This window comes from Homo sapiens, chromosome 2 (genome assembly GCF_000001405.40).
Source record: "Homo sapiens chromosome 2, GRCh38.p14 Primary Assembly".
Taxonomy (NCBI): Eukaryota; Metazoa; Chordata; class Mammalia; order Primates; family Hominidae; genus Homo; species Homo sapiens.
Window position 1 is genome coordinate 240,814,238 of NC_000002.12, and position 20,404 is coordinate 240,834,641.

Consider the following 20,404-nt stretch of genomic DNA (forward strand, 5'->3'; position numbering starts at 1 on the left):
GTCGACATGAAGTTAGAACACCAAGGAAAAGACAGGATCCTAAAAGCTTCCAGGGAGAAAAGACGAGTTGCCAACAAAGCCTGCTCATAAGTGACCTGATGCAGAAAGCCATGGTGACCCTATCCTTAGAGTTCCCAGGAAAGCTACTTAGGAACAGAAGTACCCCAGACACTACCACCCAGAGCAAGGACACAGCAAAAACACTCTCACACACCAAAGACTCATGCACCCTTTCAAGGAAGTCACACAAGGATGTGCTCCAGCAAAACAAGACAGGAAACCAAGAAACAAGCAGCTCTAGGGTCCAAGAAACAGAAACTCCAATCCAGGGGACATGGCAAGCAGCTGCCAGAGGCCACTTCTGGAGGTGCGATAAAAGGGAAAAAACTCATTCAAGAAAATAAAAAGGCTGGGCGCGGTGGCTCATACCTAAAATCCCAGCACTTTGTGGGGCCGAGGCAGGAGGATTGCTTAAGCCCAGGAATTCAAGACTTGCCTGGGCAACATGGCAAAACCCCGTCTACAAAAAATTAGCCAGGTGTGGTGATACATGCCCATAGTCCCAGCTATTCAGGAGGCTGAGATAGGAGGATCACTTGAACCCAGGAGGTTGAGGCTGTGGTGAGCTGTGACTGCACCACTGCACTCCAACCTGGGTGACAGAGTGAGACCCTGTCTCTAAAATGAAATAAAATAAAGATAACCAAGAGCTGGAGAAAATAAAACACCAACCAAGAACATCTTGCCTAAGTACAGAGCTGACGCAAAGGGTGTGGGGCCGTAAGCGTGCTCCTCTGGTCTGCGCCTAGCCCACTGCAGCCACTACTTGTCCTAGAGCTGCAGCCCTCCCAGGCCCCAAGGACCTGCACCCATGGTGGGGCCCTGGCCCCAGAAGCAGGAGAGTGGGGACCAGATGACACCAAGCAACTGAGTACAGTCCCACCCCAGCCCCACAGCAGCTCCTCAGGAGCCACACCGACCCATGACCTTGAGCATTGACTGCCCAGCCCTGTCCTGCACCATCCTGGCTTGAGCTGATGACAGATGGAGAAGGAAACTGAGGCCCACCCTCAGGTGGGCCTTTCTGGCAGGGCTGAGGTGGGGGCAGGAACCCCTTGAGGGCATTCCTGGCACTACCAGCCTCAGGGAAGGGGCCCTGCAGGAGCAGTCCGGGGCCATGCCTGTCCCTAGAGCTGCATTTCAGGAGCCCCACGGGAGGCCCAGAGGGAAGGGGGTGCCTGTCATTCCTAAGCCAGGCTCAGGAATCCATAGGTTCTGAACAAGAGACACTGAGACCCAAAGACACCCCAACCCCTGAGAGGGTGGCCAAAGCTCAACCTGGACTCTACCAGAAAATGCGGTACCTGGGCTAGAACAACCGGCTCAGCCATGGAAGAGCACTGACTGAGTCTTCACTCTGTGTGAGGCACCGTGCTGGCCCCCGTGGGGGTGGGAGAAGTGGGGGGTAATGGGGGTGGAGGAGAAAGTGGAGGGATGAGCAGAAAGCACTAAAGGAGCTACCATCCTCGGAGTCCCAGGTCCTCACTTTACAAGCCACATGGGCTTCTCAGGAGCCTCAGTCTCCATACCTGGAAAATGGGAACACCACCACCTGGCTCAGTGGGGTCCGAGCCAAGCGGTGCTGTTCTCATTGTTCAGGTGTGGAGTGGCATGGGATAAAGGGAAGCACATGAGGTGCACAGTGCAGGCTATGACCAGTGTTCTCTGTCTTCTTCCCCACCCCTGGAAACCTATGGTTGTGGAGGGGGTGCCAATCTGAGGGGTAGGGGTGACAGCAGGCATCATGGCAGAGGCAGCATTTGAGGGGGACCTAAAACCTAATGTGGAGGTTGAGTAGAAAGTATTGAGAAGAAACCCAGGCAAGAACAAAGACAGGGACAAGGGATGCAGAGTGTGTGTGTGTGTGTGTGTCTATCTGCATGCATGCATGTGTGTATGCATGCGTGCATAAGCATGTGTGTATGTGTGTTTGTATGTGAATGTATGTGTGGGTATGTGAGTGTGCATGAGCATGCATGTGTGTGTATGAGTGTCTGTGTGTGTGAATGTATGCATGGGTGGGTGTGCGTGCATGTGTGTGTCAGTGTGTGTGCAATGTGTGTGTATGTGTATATGCATGTGGATCTGTGTGTGTTCGAGTGGATGCATGTGACTATGAGTGTGTGTGGCCGGGTGACTGCTCTGGACCCCTCCAGGGCACTGTGGGGAGGGGTGAGGAATAAGCACGAGGATGCCTGGAGAGCCAGGCACTGGCCTGCCCTCCCTATACCCCAAGGCGTCCTGAAATCTGGCAGGGATGGCAAGCAGGAGGGACCCCCAAAGGTCATCTGAATCCCCAGGCTCTGTGGCAGCCAGGGCTGGGCCTGCCCAGACCACAAGGCCTGGGATTAGGAGATTAAATCCAGGGTGAGGAGGCTTTAGAGAGGCAGCAGCCCCTCCTACTCATTCCGGCAACCCCAGCCTCTGAGTCCCACATCCAAGTCCCATATCCACACATCCGGATCAATCTCTACAATGCACTAGGCCTGCAGGAGGCCAAAGCTGGCAGGATGGGCTGGCAAGGAGCAGGAGAGGTCAGGAGGCTCAGTCTCCACCTGCTGCTGACCTTGACTGTGCCCTCTGCCCCACAGCACCCCCAACTGCAGCACGTGGGCCAAGCCCAGCCAGCTGTTCCCTGGGTTCTTGAGGCCCTGGGGGTGGGGGCACTGGGGTGGCGAGAGGCCAGCCAGGCTGAGGGTGGGGATCCCAGTGGGGCTCAGGAGCTAAAGAGCAAGCTGGCTTCGTCAGGTGGGGCCACTGTGCCCCTGCCTCTGCCCAGGTGCCATGCCAAAGGACTGGGATGCAAAGCTCTGGGATCCCAAACCCTCCTGTAGCAGGGATGGGCCTATGGCCGGAGGCCACCACCTAAGGGGCAGAAGCCGGCAAGGACGCAGGCCCAACGCTGCCTGGCTGTGTCCCTGGGTACCCTGGCCACCCATGGACAGGTTCGGGGCAGGGTGTGGCCCAGCCCCCCATGGTTCTCAGAGACGCTCCTGGGCATGGAGTGGGTGATGGGCAGTGGGAGGTGACACCTTGAGTCCCTTTGGCCACCCATATTGTGGGTGGTGAGCCACATCCTTTGGGCCTAAGAACACTGAATGTGGCAATGACCTAGAGAGGTCCCCAGACTCTGCAGGCAGACAACCACGTGCTCATCCTACCAATCACAGCCACCCAGAGACCCAGGCCCACCACTCTCCACCCGTGGTAGCGGCTCAGGCCCCTCCCAGCTCACTGATAGATGTGCACGGATGGTCTCAGGCCTGACGGGATTGGCCAGCTAGGCATGTGCAGGGCTCAGTAAATCCCAATGACCTAATGCTGGTAGCCCCTCCATAGACCCCAATCTGGTAGGACCAGGGCTCTGTGGGAACGTCTCCCTTCCCGTCCCCACCACACCCAGTTCACCTGCTTTGGCCGGCCCGGCTGAGTGGCCTGAAGAGATGCCCTCAGTCTCCTCCAGGGCCTCCTCCTCCAGCTCACATCTCCCCCTCCACCCTTCACAAATCCCACAGGAGGACTGCCCTACCCTACTCCCAAAGGGCATGGTGGGCCCAAGGTCAGCAGTCATGACATCAGTGAGGACTGCGGGGCACAGGCTGGGCGGCCGGGCAGTGACCCCAGTTTTAATCCTGATCCAGCCAAGCATCATCCCTGGGCTTTGGGCAGAACTCCAGGCTCCACCTGTTTGTGGCTGGCCGGCTGGAGCCCCAGATGGGGCAGTCTGTGGGACATTCCAGTGGGGAAGGGGGAAAGGAGGCACCCAGGGGGGCAGCACCCGGCTGGGAGCAGGGCTGGCACACAGCAGACATCTTGCAGGCCCTCACCACAGGGACCTCCCTGGGCCCGGCCCGGGACCCCTGCCTTGACAACTGATTCCAGCCTCTGTCCACCCTGCGGACCTGCCCGGGGAGGACACCTGCAGGGCCTCAGATCCATCTGCAGCCGGAGTGAAGCTGTTCATCCGGGCCCTGCCTTGGACCCAGCACCCTCCCGAGACTTCACCCCGGGTAAAGGCTGCCCTCCTCCGATCCCACGCTGGGCCCCTCAGCCAGCGGCCTTACCGCATCCCTCCTCATCCCTCCGGTCCAGAGGGTTCCTGGGTCTTGACTCCAACCACCCCATCAACCAAACAAGGAACCCCTCTAAATAGACGGTGTGTGTTCAGTGCAAGGGCAGACCTGAGCCCTGGCCCTGGCCCATCCCACACCCTGCACCGCAAGCTCCACATCTGCTCCACTCCTGACTGCCCCACTCCTGACTGCCCCACTCCACAGCCTGGCTAAGGCTGGTGGCCAACCACACCTGCAAAATGGCCGCCGCAGGTGCAGCCCCAACCCCCACGTGGACCCCAGAGCTTCCCTTCAAACCCTCTGCTGCCTTCTCACACCACGAGGGTGCTGGCATGGCTTCCCTGGCAAAGGCCCCGCCAGCCTGAGTGCGACCTGGTGTCCCGCAGAGCCGAGCACGGTGTCGCGCTGTGCGTCCCCAGGGTGAGGCCAGTGCCAGCCCTGCGAGGCAGGGGCCTCTCCGCACCGCCTCCTCTCCGCAGCCGCAAGATCCAATCCGCTTGCCCTGGCAGGCCTTTAATTCCAGCAATGCAGGCACCCCTTGGAAAGGGCTGACGCTTGGGGAAGGGGTCCTCCAGTCTCTGGGGGAAAGTCCCTATTCCCGGGGACGTGGGCGCGCATCGGGTCCGCGCCGGGCGACGTCGCGCTCGCGCCCAGCAGGCCCCATGACTTGGCATTCCCTCCTTCCCCTCCCCCTCCCGCCCCTGCGGCCGGCAGGGCCCCCCCAACCCCACCTACCGGCGCCCAGCGCCCCGCTCCTGCGGACCCTCCCTCCCGGCGGGGATGCTGCCCCGGCCCTTCCCAGCGAGAGGGCAGCGCGGCTGGTTTGGGGGAAGTCAGCGTGAGGAGCGGCTTAAAGCGGGAGTGCGAAGGTCTTCGCGGCCACTGTTCCTTCGTGTCATCCGAGCCCGGGCGCCGGGGGCGCGCCGCCAGCCTAGACCCTGCGGCCCCGCAGCCCCTCCCTCGCCGCCGGGCCACACCTGTTACAGGGGCGCTGGCTGCTGAGACGCAGGCAGTGCTCGCCGGCGGCCCCTCCCAGGTGCTGGGTCTTTCTGGAAGGGAGCTGGGGTCTCTGGCGTGGGAGGGGGTGATGGGCAGGCCGGCCGTGCAACGAAGCGGGTGGCCAGGCCCCAACGCCGCAGCCCCCGCCCCGCCCGCCTGTTTTGCTCCCGGCTCCAGCATCCGCCCTCCCCCACCCCGGGAACCGGAGCAGCTGCCCGCGCCCGGCCGCCCTGCGCGCTCTCCCCTCGGGCCGAGGCGCTGCAGCCGCGCACCCTCCCAGGTGCGGCGTCAGCGTCCTCAGCCCCGCTCACCATCCCTCCCCTCCCCCGCCGTCTGGGCGCAGCCCCTCCCGCAGCCCCGCCGGTGGCTCCTCTCCAGGGAAGCGGAATAGCCGGGGAAGGGCGGGGGTATCCCGATCCCGCCGGCCGGGCGAGCCCTCCCGAGGGCGACCCCCGCCCGCCTAAGCCGAGGGTCCCGCTGCAGCCGAGATCGCGGCAAAGGGACCTTTTCCAGCGGCACCTGAAGGGCGGACACCCCTGAATTTCCCCCATTGTTCTCTGCGGAGATGGAGGAAGGTCTGGAAGTGAAGGGGCCTCGCAGTGCCTGCGCTTTGGGCGGCAACAAGGGCGCCGGGCCGGAGCTCCCCGCCCTGGGCGCAGTGGGTGCAGGTGCGGGCTGCGGGCGCGGGCTGCCGGGCGCAGGTGCGGGGCGAGGGGCGCGGGCGCGGGAGGCCGGGCGGGCGGCGGCCTTACCTCTCCGGCGTCACTGGCGGCGGCCCCGCATGGGCACTGGCATGGGCGCGGGCTCTCGAGCCCGGAGCTGCTGCCGCTCGCCGGCTGCTCTGCGCTGTGACGGCGCCGCCGCGTGACGGGCTGCGCGCCCCCGGCCCGGACCGCCCCGCGCCCCTCCCGAGGCGCTGGTTGGCTGCGCGCGGCGTCCGAGCTCCAGTCGCCAGCTGGTTTGTCGCGCGGGGAGAGGGACGGGCGACGCGGCCGCCGCGGGGATGGGGCTGGGGACGGAGGGGGCCGGGGCCGGGCTGTGACGTCACCGCTGACACCGCGGCGGGCCCCGCGGAGGGTGGGGGACCGACACCCGGCTCGGACGCAGCGTCCCCTCCCCCGGCGTGCCCCTGAGACCTCGCGGGGGAGGGACCCGGCGGCGCCCCGTCCCGAAGCCCCGCGTGCACCTGAACTTGCCCGCGGACCCCTCGCCGGGCCGTCCCCCACCCTGGCCCCTTTCGAGTGAAATCGTAAAACGTCCACCTGCCCCCGCTCTGAGCCAGCGACAGACGCATCGTGGGGGGCGGGCGGGGCTGGGGAGGGAGGGCTCCTTGCGCCAGGGATGCTGGCTCCGGGTGTAACAGGTGCGCGGTGAAATCGCATCTTGTGTCGGGGCCGGGGCGCCGGGGGAAGAGCAGCAGTGACCCAGGCCCTCCCCGCCGGATGATGCAACCCGCCCGCGGACCCGCCGCCTCGCCTCTACCGCGGCTCGTGGGGACCCCCCGCCCTCCTCTCGCCCCACCTCTCCAGGCCCCCATTGTCCTCACCCCAGCCTGTCCAGTTTAACTTCCTTGGACCCCCAAGTCACACGCCGCTCGGGGGCCACCCCGGCAAACCCCAGCCTGCGTCACCCGCCCCCAGCCGCCTTCCTAGTTCCAGGGGCTGACTGGTATCTCTGTGCGCGCCACCGTCCTCCCTCCACCGTCCCAGGGCTGGGCAACTTCGACAAAGCCTCTGGGCAGCTCGCCCATGGGAACCTCCCCGCACTGCGGTGCGGGGGTGCACGGATTTCGGGCCACCCTGAACCCCGGGGCTGGGTCCCCTCCAGCCCAGCCCCTGCCATCGAGCCCCTGCCATGGGCATCCTGGCGTCGCCTGGCTAAGCCTCCCTGGCGCCCAGCAGGGGCCTGCGCTGCCCTAGCGGCCTCGCCGTTAACCATTTCATCCACACTCCTGGGAGAGCCGGCTTCACCTCAGTCCCGACAGCTGCGTGCGAGCGCCTTGCAGGTGGCTGGGGGAGATTCACATCCACTTCTGCAAGACACGGGCCCCCCACTCCCAGCCCCAGCCCCGCCGAAACCAGCTAGACAGCTCCTCCTCCTTCACTATTTCCTGGAACCGCCGGCATGAAAGAGAAATCAATTGTTCTTCCTAACCCTGGCAGAAACAATAAAACCATCTGGGCTTCTGGGGCTGGGGTCTTTATCACCTCCGTTTTCCTCATGCTTTTTAATCTGGCAAGTTCTCTATTTCTCGAGGCAATAGACATTTTTCTAGGAATTAATCTATTTCACGTTAATATTTAAATGACTAGCATATCTTTTTTTCTTTATATTCTGGCTTTTTATGGTTTTGTTTGTTTGTTTTGACAGGGTCTTGCTCTGTCTCCCAGGTTGGAGTACAGTGGTGCCATCTTGGCTCACTGCAGCCTCAGCCTCCCCAGCTCAAGCAATCCTCCCACCTCAGCCTCCCTAGTAGCTGGAACTACAAGTGTGTGCCACCACGCCCAGCTAATTTTAGCATTTTTTGTAGAGACAGGATTTTGCCCTGTTGCACAGGCTGGTCTCAAACTCCTGAGGTCAAGCCATCCACCCACCTCGGCATCCCAAAGTGCTGGGATTACTGGCATGCATTTGGCCTGTATTTTGTTTTTTGCATTTTTCTCTTTTAATATTTTTAAATATTTTCAGAGCTCCAACTTTTAGTTCTGTTAAACGTCTTTCCCGTTATTTCATTTGCTTCTGTCTTTCTGTATTATTTCCTTCCTTTGTGGTTCTTTGGATTTGATCTGTTCCTCTGTCTTGAACCAAATGCTTAGCTCCTTTTTAAGCCTTCTGATTTTCCAATAGATCTACTGTATTAAAAGCTACAAAATTCCTTCTACAGAACTGTCTTGGCTGAGTCTCACAAATTTGGACATAAAATGTTTTCATTATCATTCATATCTAATATTTTCTACTGTTCCTGATGATCTCCTTTTAAACCCAGGGTTATTTAATAATGTTATTTACTTTTCAATAGTGTTTCTTTAATTATAACCTTTTGTTACCAGGTTCTAATTTAATTGCATTGTTGTCAGAGAACAAGTCTGTATTCAGTCAAGATCCTGGCAGGAAGCAGATGGCACACTCAAATTGGGTAATTTGAGAAGGGTTTGATAAAGAGACTATTGATAAAGGTGTGGGCAGGAGGTCGGAGAGCCCCAGGGGCTTGGTGGCACTGCAGCCTTACTGCCTGCAGGGAGCGGGGCGGGCAGAAGCAGAGGCTCAGGTGGAGGGGTGCAGCCAGCCAGAGTTTCCTAGGAAGGGAGCCAGGGCAGCAAACCCTGGACCTCACTCTCCCTCTTCCCCTGATCTGGTAGTGCTTTGGCTGAACCCAAGGGGAAGCTGGAGGTCAGGGGCACCCAAGGAGTATGGTGCATTTCGGGTGGTCTCCTGAAGAATGGGCAAAGGGAACTTAGAAGCACAAACAGAAACTAGCTGCCCAGTCTGCATGGCCCTGTGCCTCTGGAATTCATTGAGGCTTCTTTAGGTCCTAACACATAGTCTATTTCATACATGTTCTACCTGTGTTCAAAATGGTTGTACTCTCTGCTTGATGGGCAGAGAGTTCTCTATATTATGTATTAGTTCAAAATTATTAATTCTTGACTCAGTAAGGTAAGATCCCAGATAGAAAAGCTTTTTAAGGTTATTAATCATTTTGATCAGGATTTGGAGATTTCTGCTAATTTTTGTCAATGTGAACTATGCTTATTATTTTTTAAAATTTCCAGTTAGAATTGTTAAAATATCTGCTTCTCCCAGCAGTTCCGGCACATGTTGCTTGCTGTGTATTGTGGCCATATTTTTAGATATTAGAATGATTGTGATAGACATGCATTATCATTCTGTGGCTCCTTGCGCCCATATGTATGTGTGCCCTTCTTTGTCTGGCGTTTGGAGTTTTTAAATTTTTTGCCTTAAATTTGAATGTCATACATTACATGTCAATCCAGTTTTCTTTGGTTCATATTTGCTTGCTATGTCTTTTGCCAACTTTCTTATTTTAAGCTTTTTGTATCTTTTTAAAGCGTATCTCTTTTAGGCAACCCATTGTGTAAATTTTTAAATGTAATCTGTCTCTGCCTTTTAATTGGAATTTAACCCACTTACATTTACAGCAATTACTGTTATATCAAGACTAAGCTTTGCTGCCTGTTCCCTGACTGCTCCTCATCAAAGACAGAGTCTGAGATACCAGTGCTGGCCCCTCCGTCCCACTCAAGACCCCTCCGACGGGCAGCTTTATCAGGGACACCCATCAGCTTGGCCGAAAGCTTCTGGGAGGGGGACTGCAGTCTGAGACTCTTCCTACCCAAGCCCCTTCCTTCCCTGTCTCTTTTGCAGGCCTCAGACCTGCCTCAGGATCTGAAGCTCTTCTGCCTGCACCTGCTCCCTCCCCTCTATCCTGCATGGGCTTACTCCCAATCACCACTCGCCCCTCCTCTAATGCCACAGAGACATGGACTGACATGGATCCCCGGGGAGCATGTTTTTCTCTCCAGCTGGCCATATTCCTTGGGCGTCGAGTGACTCTGGCCTGTGAGCGCCCAGTGGTGTCGGGACAGCAGCTGCTCTACTGGCAGCCTGCAGTGGGGAGGCACAGAAGCCAGGCCCATACAGGGAAGGCCTGGAGTGCAGGCTCCTTCCTGAAACTGATCACCACTCCTTGCTGCCTCCCTCCCCAGAGCCCACAGAGGAGCCACTTCCCTACCTTGTGCTGCATCATGCTGTAGCATCTGAGAGGAGGCTCTCTGGACAGCTCTCTGTTGTCTCCAGGGCCGTCCCACCCAGGAGGACCTCGCAGCTCCCTAACAGTCCCCGTGATGGCTTCCTGTGGTCCAGGCCATCCCAAGACGGGCAGGAGAGCAGGACTAAACTGTGTCTCTCCTGCCCGTCCCCCTTGCCCTGGCTGCAGCCTCCACCCACTTCACAGACCTCATCTATTTTTCCAGTGGGAAAAGGCCCAGTAACAGAACATGCGGGGCCCAGTGCAAAATGAAATAAAGCCGCCTTGTTCAAAAGCCTGGCAAAGTGCAGTTAAAGGTGCTAAATATACAAACCTCTTCCTCCATTCCCCAGGCTCTCTTGATTAGCCATGGTGTTTTCTTGCTATTTAATGCCATTCTAAGTAAAGAAAATTAAAATTTTAAATTGCTAGCATGAATTTTACTCTTCAGCTTTCTATCGTAGAATGCCAGTTTTAAATGCAGATAGAAGAGCTTTCAACTCATACACCGAATCACTGAAATTACACAGCTCATATTTCCTAGTTCATCTGTGTGTGTTTTCTGTTCTTACCAGAACAATGAAAACCATGCACACTACTCACTTGCCTGCTTCTATTTCACTTCTTGATGCTGGCACCAACATTCTCTGCCTCCCGCTTACTGATGAGGAAGGAGGGATAAAAGGAGAACTCTGGGTCTTCCTGTCTTTCCCTTTCCTTCCATGCCACCATTTCAGTGAAAGTGCTCGGCTAATACAGGGAAGTAAAATGAGTAAGAAAAGATACAACAGGGGTCCCATGTCCTTTGTGTTCCTTAGAACACCATTGCCCCCTTTCTGTATTTGGAACAAGTTCTGGTTGAAATGGAAAACGTGGCCTTTCTGGGCTGTCTCATGCCACGCCCACTGGGCTGCAGGCATGACCTGCTCTACCTGGCACTGGAGTGAGTCTTGCTGAACTCCATACCATGGCACTGTGAACACTAGATCAGGATGGGGCTGCAGGAGCAGGCAGAGATTTGTGCGTCTCCTCTGCACCTGCCTCAATATGCCATCGGCAACACAAAACACAAAAGATGAAATTATTAAGGATCTTGGGCCAGCGACAGCAGAGCATCAAGCCAAGAGTGCGGGGCCACCTGCTCTGATGCAGCTCACAGACCCAGTGGTGGAGGCTGTCGATTTCATCCCTTTCTTTTCCCCTCCTCTCTCTCTCTCCCCCCACTTCATCTTCCCTCCTCCTCTTCCTCCTTTCCCTTCTGTCAATCTCATTGTTTTTCTTTGAACACTCGATCATTTCTCCACTTCTAAACAGAAAAATTAAACGCAGATCAGCATGTGACAAGCTGTGGGGCTTGCCTCTGCTATCCCTGCTCAGTTCCCACTTCCTGAGGTCAGAGTTCAGGGATGCAGGACAGGACCAACACTCTGAACCCCACCCTCCAACAGACTAGATCAAGACTTTCTCACATTAGTGCCCCCACAACTGCACTGAGGACCCACCCGCCACTGCCCTCTCTGCACACACCCAGAGGCTGCAAGCTGTCCAAGTGGCCAAGGGTAGGAGTGGCATAGTCCAGGAATGCTGGTCGCCCCGGGGCCCTGCCTGCTGACCTCTTGTTGAGAAGCAGGCTTTGCCCACCCCCAAATAAATCACTAACATGGAAGAAGTTTTCAAAAAGCAGCCACCTTGCGGGCCTGGGCCCAGGTAATTTCAGACTTTTAAGCTTAAAAAATCTAGACTGCTCTCCTATTACTTAAAGTGACCCATAGCTATGAAAAGGAGGAGACTGATGAAATTCTTGTTGTGAAGCCAGCATAACACTGATGCCAAAACCTGGTGGAGAGATCCCAAAATGGAAGACCACAAACCAATTTTGCAGCAATATGAATACAAAAGTTACATAACACAGCCAGATAGAATTCAGTAGTACATTAGAATGATCCTGTAACATGGCTAAATTCTTCTCGAAAATACAAGTGTGGTACAGTATTAGAGATGGCATGAATATAATCATTCATTTTAGGAAGTTATAGGATTAAAAAAATGGGGTGATTTTAATCAATGTTGAAAAGGCATTTGACCAAGAAGCCATCTATTTCTAGTTAAAAAGAAAACAACCACACCCTTTAGGGAAACGTGGCTTCTTCCTTCACCTGAGGAGGGAGCAGCCCTGCAGGGTCTTGGTGGATGAGTCCAGCCAAGGGGCAGCCCAGGGCAGCCCAGGGCAGCTTCACGCCTATCAGTTGCATGACTCTGGGCAAGTTCATTAGCCCTCTGTGCCCATGACCTCTTCTGCAGCTGGAATAAAAGCTGTGCCAACCTCATACAGCAGTGGTAAGGATTCGATGAATTAATGTGTAAAATGCTGAGACGAGGGCTGGACACACCATAAGCCCTATATAAACGATAGCTGACCTGGTGAAACAACAGAGAAAGCCTCATTACAATGAAGGATGTGCATTCTCACCTCCGTTGCATTTAGAAGTATCCGCCTATGCAATTAAAAAAGAGAAGAAAATACGTGACATAAATACATATTTGGTCTTTGCCCTCAGTTTCTGACACTGCATTCCTAAAATGCTTGTAATTTCCTAAGTGATGGGGTGCTAGGACCATCCTTTGTTTTGATATTTGCGTCCCAGACCAAATATTTGATTCCAGGACCTCAGGTCATGACAGAGAGCTCCTAAATCCTTCGGGCTTTCCCGGGGGATAGGAACGTCTTTTGTTCTAATTAAGTGACTCTTGGTGGGTTCTTGGATAGCTTCAGGATGGAGGCTGGTCACCAGAAAGATTAAGCCATAATTAAAATCTTGGAACTTTCAGCCCCACCCCCTCAGCCTCTGGGGAGAGGAGAGAGGCTGGCAACTGAGCAGCAGGTCAGGCTGTGTGATGAAGTGCCATGGTCCGAATGCTGGTGTCCTCCCTCAATTCATGTGTTGGAGCTTAATCCCCAATGTGATTGTATTAAGAGGTGGGACCCTTAGGAGGTGACTGAGTAATGAGGTTGGAGCTGTCACACACAGAATTAGTGCCCTTGTTAAAGAGTTTGAGGAGCCCCTTCTCCCCTCCACCAGGGGAGGACCCATAGAAGGCACCACCCACGAGGAACAGGCCCTCATCAGACGCCATATCTGCTGGTGCCTTGATCTTGGATTTCCCAGCCTCCAGAATGATACGCAATACATTTCTGTTGTTTATCAATTATCCAGTCTGAGGTGTTCTGTTTTAGCAGCCGAACAGACCAGCACAGGAAGTCTTCATAAAAATCCCTAAAGGACAGGGTTTGCAGAGCTTCTGGGCCGGTGAACACACCCACGTGTCAGGAAGGTGGTGCCCTCCACTCCATAGGAACAGAGGCTCCTGCACTCGGAGCCCTTCTAGACCCTCCATACTAATCCAGTACATGCAAATGTTTCTCTGAATTCTGTGAGCTGTCAGCAAATTATTGAGCCTGAGGAGAGGGTCCTGGAAGCTTCTGATTTGTAGCCAAGTTGAACGTATGTGTGGGTAACCTAGGGCTCACCACTTTCCACTGGCATCTGAAGTGGGGGTGGTCTTCAGAGGCCAAGTCCTTAACCGGCGGGGTCTGCGCTAATTCCAGCTAATTGGTGTCATCACTAAATTGTAGAACACCCAGCTGGCGTCAGAAGAGTTGGATAATTGGATGGTGTGGAGAAAATAACCCTCACATTTGGTATCAAGTGTTCAGTACAGGGAATAAACAGCTGTTTTTTCCTATTTAAATAGCAGGTTAAAATATTAGAATGGAAGAAACAAAGTTATTATTTGTAGATGATATAATCATCTATCTAGAAAACTTAAGGGATGAGTGACAAGCTATAGGGAACAATAAGTTAGGAGCTGGCATTATTAAAAAGTAAAAAAAAAAAAATAGATGTTGGCACGGATGTGGTGAGAAGGGACTGCTTTACCCACGGCTGATGGGAATGTAAATTAGTACAACCGCTGTGGAAAACAGTACGGCGATTTCTCAAAGAACGAAAAGTAGAACCACCATTCAGTCCAGCAATCCCAGCATGGGGTATCTACTCAAAAGAAAATCATTATATAAATTCTTTAAAAACTATCAATATACATGTTTATTGCAGCACAAATCACAATTCCAAAGATAAGGACTCAACCTAAGTGCCCATCAACCGATGAGTGGATAAAGAAAGTATGGTATATATACACCATGGAATAGTACTAAACCATAACATGAACGAAATAATGCCTTTTGCAGAAGTTTGGATGGAACTAGAGGCCATTATGGTACCGGAAGTAACTCAGGAATGGAAAACCAAATACTGTATGTCTCACTCATAAGTGGAAGCTAAGCTATAGGTACACAAAAGCATATCGAGTGGTACGGTGGGCACTAGAGACTCCGAAGCGAGAAGGATGAGAGTGGGGAACAGGATGAAAAACTACATATTGGATACAATGTACACTTTTCAGGTGAAGAGTTAATTAAAAGCCCAGACTTCACCACTGTACAAAACCACCTGTAGGCTAGGCACCATGGCTCATATCCGTAATCCCAGCACTCTGGGAAGCCGAGGCAGGTGGATTACCTGAGGTCAGGAGTTCAAGACCAGCCTGGACAACATGGTGAAACCCTGTCTCTACAAAAATACAAAACTTGGCCGGGCATAATGGTGGATGCCTGTAATCCCAGCTACTCGGGAAAGTAGCTGAATCCAGTCGGGAGAATCGCTTGAACCCAGGAGGCAGAGGTTGCAGTGAGCCAAGATCGCGCCTTTGCACTCCACCCTGGGCGATAGAGTGAGACTCCGTCTCAAACAAAACAAAACAAAAACCATCTGTACCCCTAAAGTTATAGAAATATTTTTTAAGTTTTTTTAAGTTAGGAGCTGATAAGAAAAATTGTCACCAAGAAGGCAACACTTTCCACAAAACAGTGACCAGTTAGAACCTGTAATGGAGGAGTCCAATCATAATAGCAATCAAAAATTGCTAGAATGCATACGTAAATAAAGAATACATAAAATAAAAATAAGAATAAATACAATGGCAGGAAATAACAAGAAATATACAGTTTTCTCATTCATAAGGAAATTATATAGAAAACTTTGAAAATCCACTGAGAAGAGATAAATTAGTGGAAAAGCATAGTGTATTTTTGGAAGAGGCAATATTGTAAAAGAGCTAGTTTTCTCTAAATTACAACTACACATTCCATGCAATTAAAATAGCAACAGAAGTTCACATGGAAACACGAACATGCAAGACTAACCAGGAAATGTGTTAAAAAGAAGAATGAGGAGAATCCGCCCTATAAGACACTAAAACATAATATGAAATTCTCACAATTAAAAAGATGCCAGTGTTGAAGAAGAAACAGATCAAAATTTTATGATAAAAGGTGTCCTTTCAAATAATTTTGGGGAAATAGATCATTTAATAACTATGTTATTTCCCACAGTGTCAGATACTGTGGGAAAATATAGAGCTGGATCCCCACCTGACATGTGAGTGACATCAAGACAAATTCCCAAGGGAATCGATATTAATTTGTGAAAACAAAACCTTAGGGGGCTGGGATGAAACGTGGTGGCCGTATGCAGTATCTTGGAGTGGAGAAAGCGTGACACATCACCTGAGCCCTCTGAAAAGATGAGGACTCCACAAAAACCCCAGCATCTCTATGGCCCAACACCATAAGCCAAATGGAAATCCCAGCCCCACACTGGGAAAATTATTTCCACAATTATGAAGATGCAGGGATTTCCGACAGTGTAAGGAGCTCTGCAAACCCACAGCAAACAATCTGAGTGATGACCCCAGAGATGGGCAGAGACTACAAAGGGACAGTTTGCAGAAGGAAAAACAGGGAGAGAATGGGCCAATAGCAGGGAAAAATATGGACACAGTTAAAGAACTGCACATCAAAGTGTAGGGTTGTTGGCTGGGCGCGGTGGCTCGTGCCTGTAATGCCAACACTTTGGGAGGCCGAGGCAGGCAGATCATCTGATGTCGGGAGTTTGAGACCAGCCTAACCAACATGGAGAAACCCCGTCTCTACTAAAAATACAAAATTAGCCAGGCGTGGTGGCGCATGCCTGTAATCCCAGCTACGCAGGAGGCTGAGACAATAGAATCGCTTGAACCCGGCAGGCGGAGTTCTGGTGAGCCAAGATCACGCCATTGCACTCCAGCCTGGGCAACAAGAGAGAAACTCTGTCTCAAAAAAAAAAACAAAAACAAAAAACAGTGGGGTTGTTTTTTGACCTATCAAATTTCATACAATTAAAATGTCTAGTAATGTCCAGTGTGGCCAGCCCATGGGAAAATGTGCCATGGTAGTGTCCAGGGCAAGGACTGCAATGTTTCTGGACAGCAGTTTGTCAAAATGCACCTGCGTTAGCCTGCTCCTACCCTCAATTCAGTAATTCCATGGCTAGCAATTTGCCTGTTATATACACACACAAAAATTTGCCAACATAAATAGGCAAGAATATTGATCACAATATGGATTTAAAAACGACATAATCAACCAGGTGCGGTGGCTCATGCTTGTAATCCCAGCACTTTGGGAGGCCGATGTGGGCAGATCACCTGAGGTCAGGAGTTCGAGACCAGCCTGGCCAACAAGGCGAAACCCTGTCTTTACTAGAAATACAAACAAATTAGTCGGGTGTGGTGGTGCGTGCCTGTAATCTCAGCTACTCGGGAGGCTGAGGCAGGAGAATCGCTTGAACCCAGGAGTTGGAGGTTGCAGTGAGCTAGGATGGTGTCACTGCCTTCCAGCCTGGGCCACAGAATGAGAATCTGTTTCAAAAAATAAAATAAAATAAAAAATAATCAAGGTGTTCACCCGTGGGCACGGGCTAAATGGACTGGGGCATACACAGGAGTGATTTCTCCAAAGCGTCTAAAATGAAGGAGTCTCAAAAGTATGTGCTGATGGGGGAAGATGACTGGGATTTGTTGTTAAATTGTTTAGAAGGGACACAGAAGAGTGTGCACAATGTAACCCCCTCATCCCGTTTTTTTCACTGAAAAGAATCACGAGAAACTGTTGGCAGCCTTTGTCATGGCTGGGGTGACTCTTGGTGGGGGTTGTTGAGAAGGCACGCACTTCTTTCTTTTTAAATATATCCACTTTCTGTGTATATGATTTGAATTTTTTTAATCTTAGGTGTAACTCTTTACGCTATTGGAGTTAGAGAGTAAGATGCCTTCATATTTTACTTTCTTTTGTATCATTCTGAATCTACACTACTAATAAATACTACATTAGGGAAAACGTTTTTAAAATCCTATCAGAGCGTAGACTTCTAGATAAACCAATGTGGAAAGAATATTAGGTTAAATCATATCAAATTACTGATGTCTACTTTTGACCTACAAAAGTGGTAATTTTAAATGGTTCCATCTAATAAAAATAAATTGTAGAAAAATATATCACAAAATTTAAAATACAGAAACCAGCTTTTTACACAGAAAATTACAACCCGCAAGTGCCACACCGAGAGGCGGCTGCAGCCAGTCTGAGCCCTGGGGACGCATGTGCTGTGACGTCCAGGCAGCAACCGGGCCGGGATGCGCGGATGGCGGGGGTGCCGAGGTGGGCAAAGGGATCACCTGGGGTCAGTGCGGGGAGCTCTGTGGACACCAGGATGGCAAGTCAGGAAGACGCTGCCCGCCACGGTCCCCCTCGGGCCTGGGAAGCCTGGAAGGTCAGGGCCTGGAGGGGAGCTGGGTCCAGGCAGGGAACTCACAGCAGAGACGCCCCGAGGGTGGGGTCGGGCCAAGAGCCGCAGCCAGGGGATGCCCTGACCTGCGCTGGAGAACGATTCGCGGAGTTCCAGAAGGGACAGAAAGGCACAGAAACAATATTCGAAGAAATATTGGCTCAGAATTTTCCAGAATTGCCTACAGACAGAAACGCTCAGATTAGGAATCAATAAGGACCCCAATAGCAAATAAAAGCAAGTCTGCAGAACACCAGAGACAAAACAGTGAAAAGACAGGTCATCTTAAAAGAGGTGAATTATGAAGTCCCAGGCCAAGGCGTTGGGTGGAACCCCAGGGTGTGGAACTGCAACAGCCCCGCAGTCTGGAAAGAAGCCGCCAGCAGCCCGCGCGGCCCCGCGGTTCCACGGGGCCTCGTCCCCGCCCCTGCCCCGCTGTAGGCCCCGCCTGCTATAGGCCCCGCCCCGCTGTAGGCCCCGCCTGCTATAGGCCCCGCTCCGCTGTAGGCCCCGCCTGCTATAGGCCCCGCCCCGCTGTAGGCCCCGCCTGCTATAGGCCCCGCCTGCTGTAGGCCCCGCCTGCTATAGGCCCCGCTCCGCTGTAGGCCCCACCCCGCAGGAAACCTCGCCCCGCTGGTGGCGCGCCCTGGTTGCCGTGGCAACCTCCTCCCTCCGCCGCCGGGTTGCCGGCTTCGCTAGCCTCTCAGCAGCGCCGTTGCCATAGCAACGGCGGGTGGGTCCCGCGGGGCGAGCTGAGCTAGGGTGAGCATCCTGTGGGGTAGACTATGGCGGCTGGGCGCGTGCGGCCTGTGCGGGGCCTCCCCGGCTGCGGTGAGAGCGGCTCGAGGGGTCCCGTGCCCGGACCCTGAAGTGCGGCCAAGCCGTGGGGGGCTCCGTGGGCTCGCGCTGCACCGCGGTGGGGTTGGGGTCCAGCCACATAGATTGAGTTGCAAGGCCCTTTGGGACGGGAAACTGCATGTTACAAATGGGGAAACTGAGGCCAAGATCGAAAAACGCTGGGAGGGACTAGCTCCAAGCTGACGCACTAGTGTCCAGGCAGAATCCTGCTGGCCTAGCCAGGACCCTTTACATCCCAGCTTTGCTCAGATGGCTCCCAGGGGTGACCTGTGGGTGGTGTTCCTGGCATGGACCCTGGATCCTGTTCCCACAGAGCTCCCTGTCAGGCCGAGGCCCCGTTGCCCACCTGGTCTTCACAGATCCCCTCCAGGCGCCTGCTCAGGGGCACCATGACAGGCCTTGCCCACCCTGTCGTCACATCTTCACTGCAGCTTTTGCAGCCTTTCCCTGAAACTGAAGACTCCCCATCCCCCAAAGCCCTGTTGGGATGCCTCTTCCCCCTCCTCCTCCATGAAGACTTTCTGCCTTACAGGACGGACGGGGGGCCCAGGTGGGCAAAGGGGTCACCTGAGGTCAGCCCGGGGGGCTCTGTGGACACCAGGATGGAGGTCAGGAAGACGCTGCCCCCCACGGAACCCCTCGGGCCTGGGAAGCCTGGAAGGGCAGGGCCAGGAGGAGAGCTGGGTCCAGGCAGTGCTCTCACAGTAGACGCCCTAAGGGTGCGGTTGGGGTTTCATTTGTTTCATCCACGCCTATTTTGCTCTGTGCACCCTGTCTCTGAGAGTCTCGGGGTCAGGTGTACAGTGGGGACGCTGCAGTCCTCAGGTTTGGAGAAGAGAATGTCAATGAGACAATAGCAGTGAAGTTGTCTGAGAACTGGCTGCTGGAATAAAATCCTGGCTCTGCCCCTCACTAACTTTCGAACCTGGGTGGTCATTCATCTCTTTGAGCCCCAGCCTCTCCGTTTGTGGAATGTGAAGTGATTACCCATCAATTTCATGGCGGGTAAATTGTGTCCAATAAACAATGGCTGTCAGGGCATGGTGAATGCTTAACCAGGCTGTGTCCACCCCTCCACAGTGGGTGGGAGCTGGCCTAGCTCATGGCCTGGGGTGCAGCGCAGACTCTCCAGAGGTCCAGGAACCTCAGCAGTGGTGTCAGCAGGTTTGCCACATGCTCTGGGGCTGTGGTGATGGGGCGGAGACAGGACATCAGCCACTGGCCTGGGTCCAGGGAAAGGAGGCCCAGCAGAGCCCTGGTCACGTCCCAGCTCTTGCAGTGGAGCCGGGGACCTGGGTGTGGAGCAGGCAGACCACACTGCAGCAAAGGGGCAGCCAGGCAGAAGCTCAGGCCCAGCCCACAGACATCTGCCCCAGCTCTCCCCAGTAACCCTGACCCTTCCCACCATCCCAGCCCACAGACACCTGCCCAGGCTCTCTCCAGTAACCCTGACCCTCCCTGCCATCCAAATCCGTGCTGTGGAATTTGCCAAGTGCTTACTTTTGGTTTTTTGGTTTTTGGTTTTGGGTTTTGGGGAGTTTTTTTGAGATGGAGTCTCGCTCGTCGCCCAGACTGGAGTGCAGTGGCTCAATCCTGACTCACTGCAACCTCCACCTCCCGGGTTCAAGCAATTATCCTGCCTCAGCCTCCTGAGTAGCTGGGATTACAGGTGCCCAGCTAATTTTTGTATTTTAGTAGAGATGGGGTTTCACCATATTGTCCAGGCTGGTCTTGAACTCCTGACCTCAAGCGATCCACCTGTCTCGGCCTTGCAAAGTGCTGGTATTACAGGTGTGAGCCACCACACCTGGCCAAAATGCTTACTTCTGAGTAGCTGAACTGAGTTTACTTGCACCCACAGAGGGCGCAAGGAGGCACAATTGTCGCCCCCATCTTGCAAATGAAGACACCAAGGCTGAGAC

General features: G+C 53.8%; 1 protein-coding gene across 28 annotated transcripts in view, besides 5 other annotated features; it reads right to left on the reverse strand.

Moving 5' to 3' along the window:
• The window catches only part of KIF1A (kinesin family member 1A), a 107,637-nt gene extending 100,471 nt beyond the window's left edge, over positions 1–7,166 (reverse strand). For 22 of the 28 annotated variants that reach the window (NM_001379640.1, NM_001379641.1, NM_004321.8 and 19 more), the window contains exon 1: positions 5,885–5,982. The gene's annotated coding sequence lies outside the window, so the exon portion shown is untranslated. Of the gene's footprint in view, positions 1–4,868; positions 5,041–5,884; positions 5,983–6,678; positions 6,803–7,102 lie in introns of those variants that run through there. The other 6 variants (NM_001379650.1, NM_001379645.1, NM_001379635.1 and 3 more) reach the window with 3 other exon arrangements.
• Positions 2,398–3,037: an enhancer, noted in NCBI's record as "H3K4me1 hESC enhancer chr2:241756052-241756691 (GRCh37/hg19 assembly coordinates)". NCBI's record gives its function as "activates a minimal SCP1, AML or CMV promoter by ChIP-STARR-seq in naive H9 embryonic stem cells {active_cell/tissue: H9 hESC(naive)}" and the evidence as "EXISTENCE:reporter gene assay evidence [ECO:0000049][PMID:30033119]".
• Positions 6,394–6,968: an enhancer, noted in NCBI's record as "H3K4me1 hESC enhancer chr2:241760048-241760622 (GRCh37/hg19 assembly coordinates)". NCBI's record gives its function as "activates a minimal SCP1, AML or CMV promoter by ChIP-STARR-seq in primed H9 embryonic stem cells {active_cell/tissue: H9 hESC(primed)}" and the evidence as "EXISTENCE:reporter gene assay evidence [ECO:0000049][PMID:30033119]".
• Positions 18,028–18,497: a silencer, noted in NCBI's record as "silent region_12523". NCBI's record gives its function as "represses an Ori minimal core promoter by ATAC-STARR-seq in GM12878 lymphoblastoid cells {active_cell/tissue: GM12878}" and the evidence as "EXISTENCE:reporter gene assay evidence [ECO:0000049][PMID:35858748]".
• Positions 18,028–19,027: a biological region, named in NCBI's record as "H3K27ac-H3K4me1 hESC enhancer GRCh37_chr2:241771685-241772681".
• Positions 18,031–19,027: an enhancer, noted in NCBI's record as "H3K27ac-H3K4me1 hESC enhancer chr2:241771685-241772681 (GRCh37/hg19 assembly coordinates)". NCBI's record gives its function as "activates a minimal SCP1, AML or CMV promoter by ChIP-STARR-seq in naive H9 embryonic stem cells {active_cell/tissue: H9 hESC(naive)}" and the evidence as "EXISTENCE:reporter gene assay evidence [ECO:0000049][PMID:30033119]".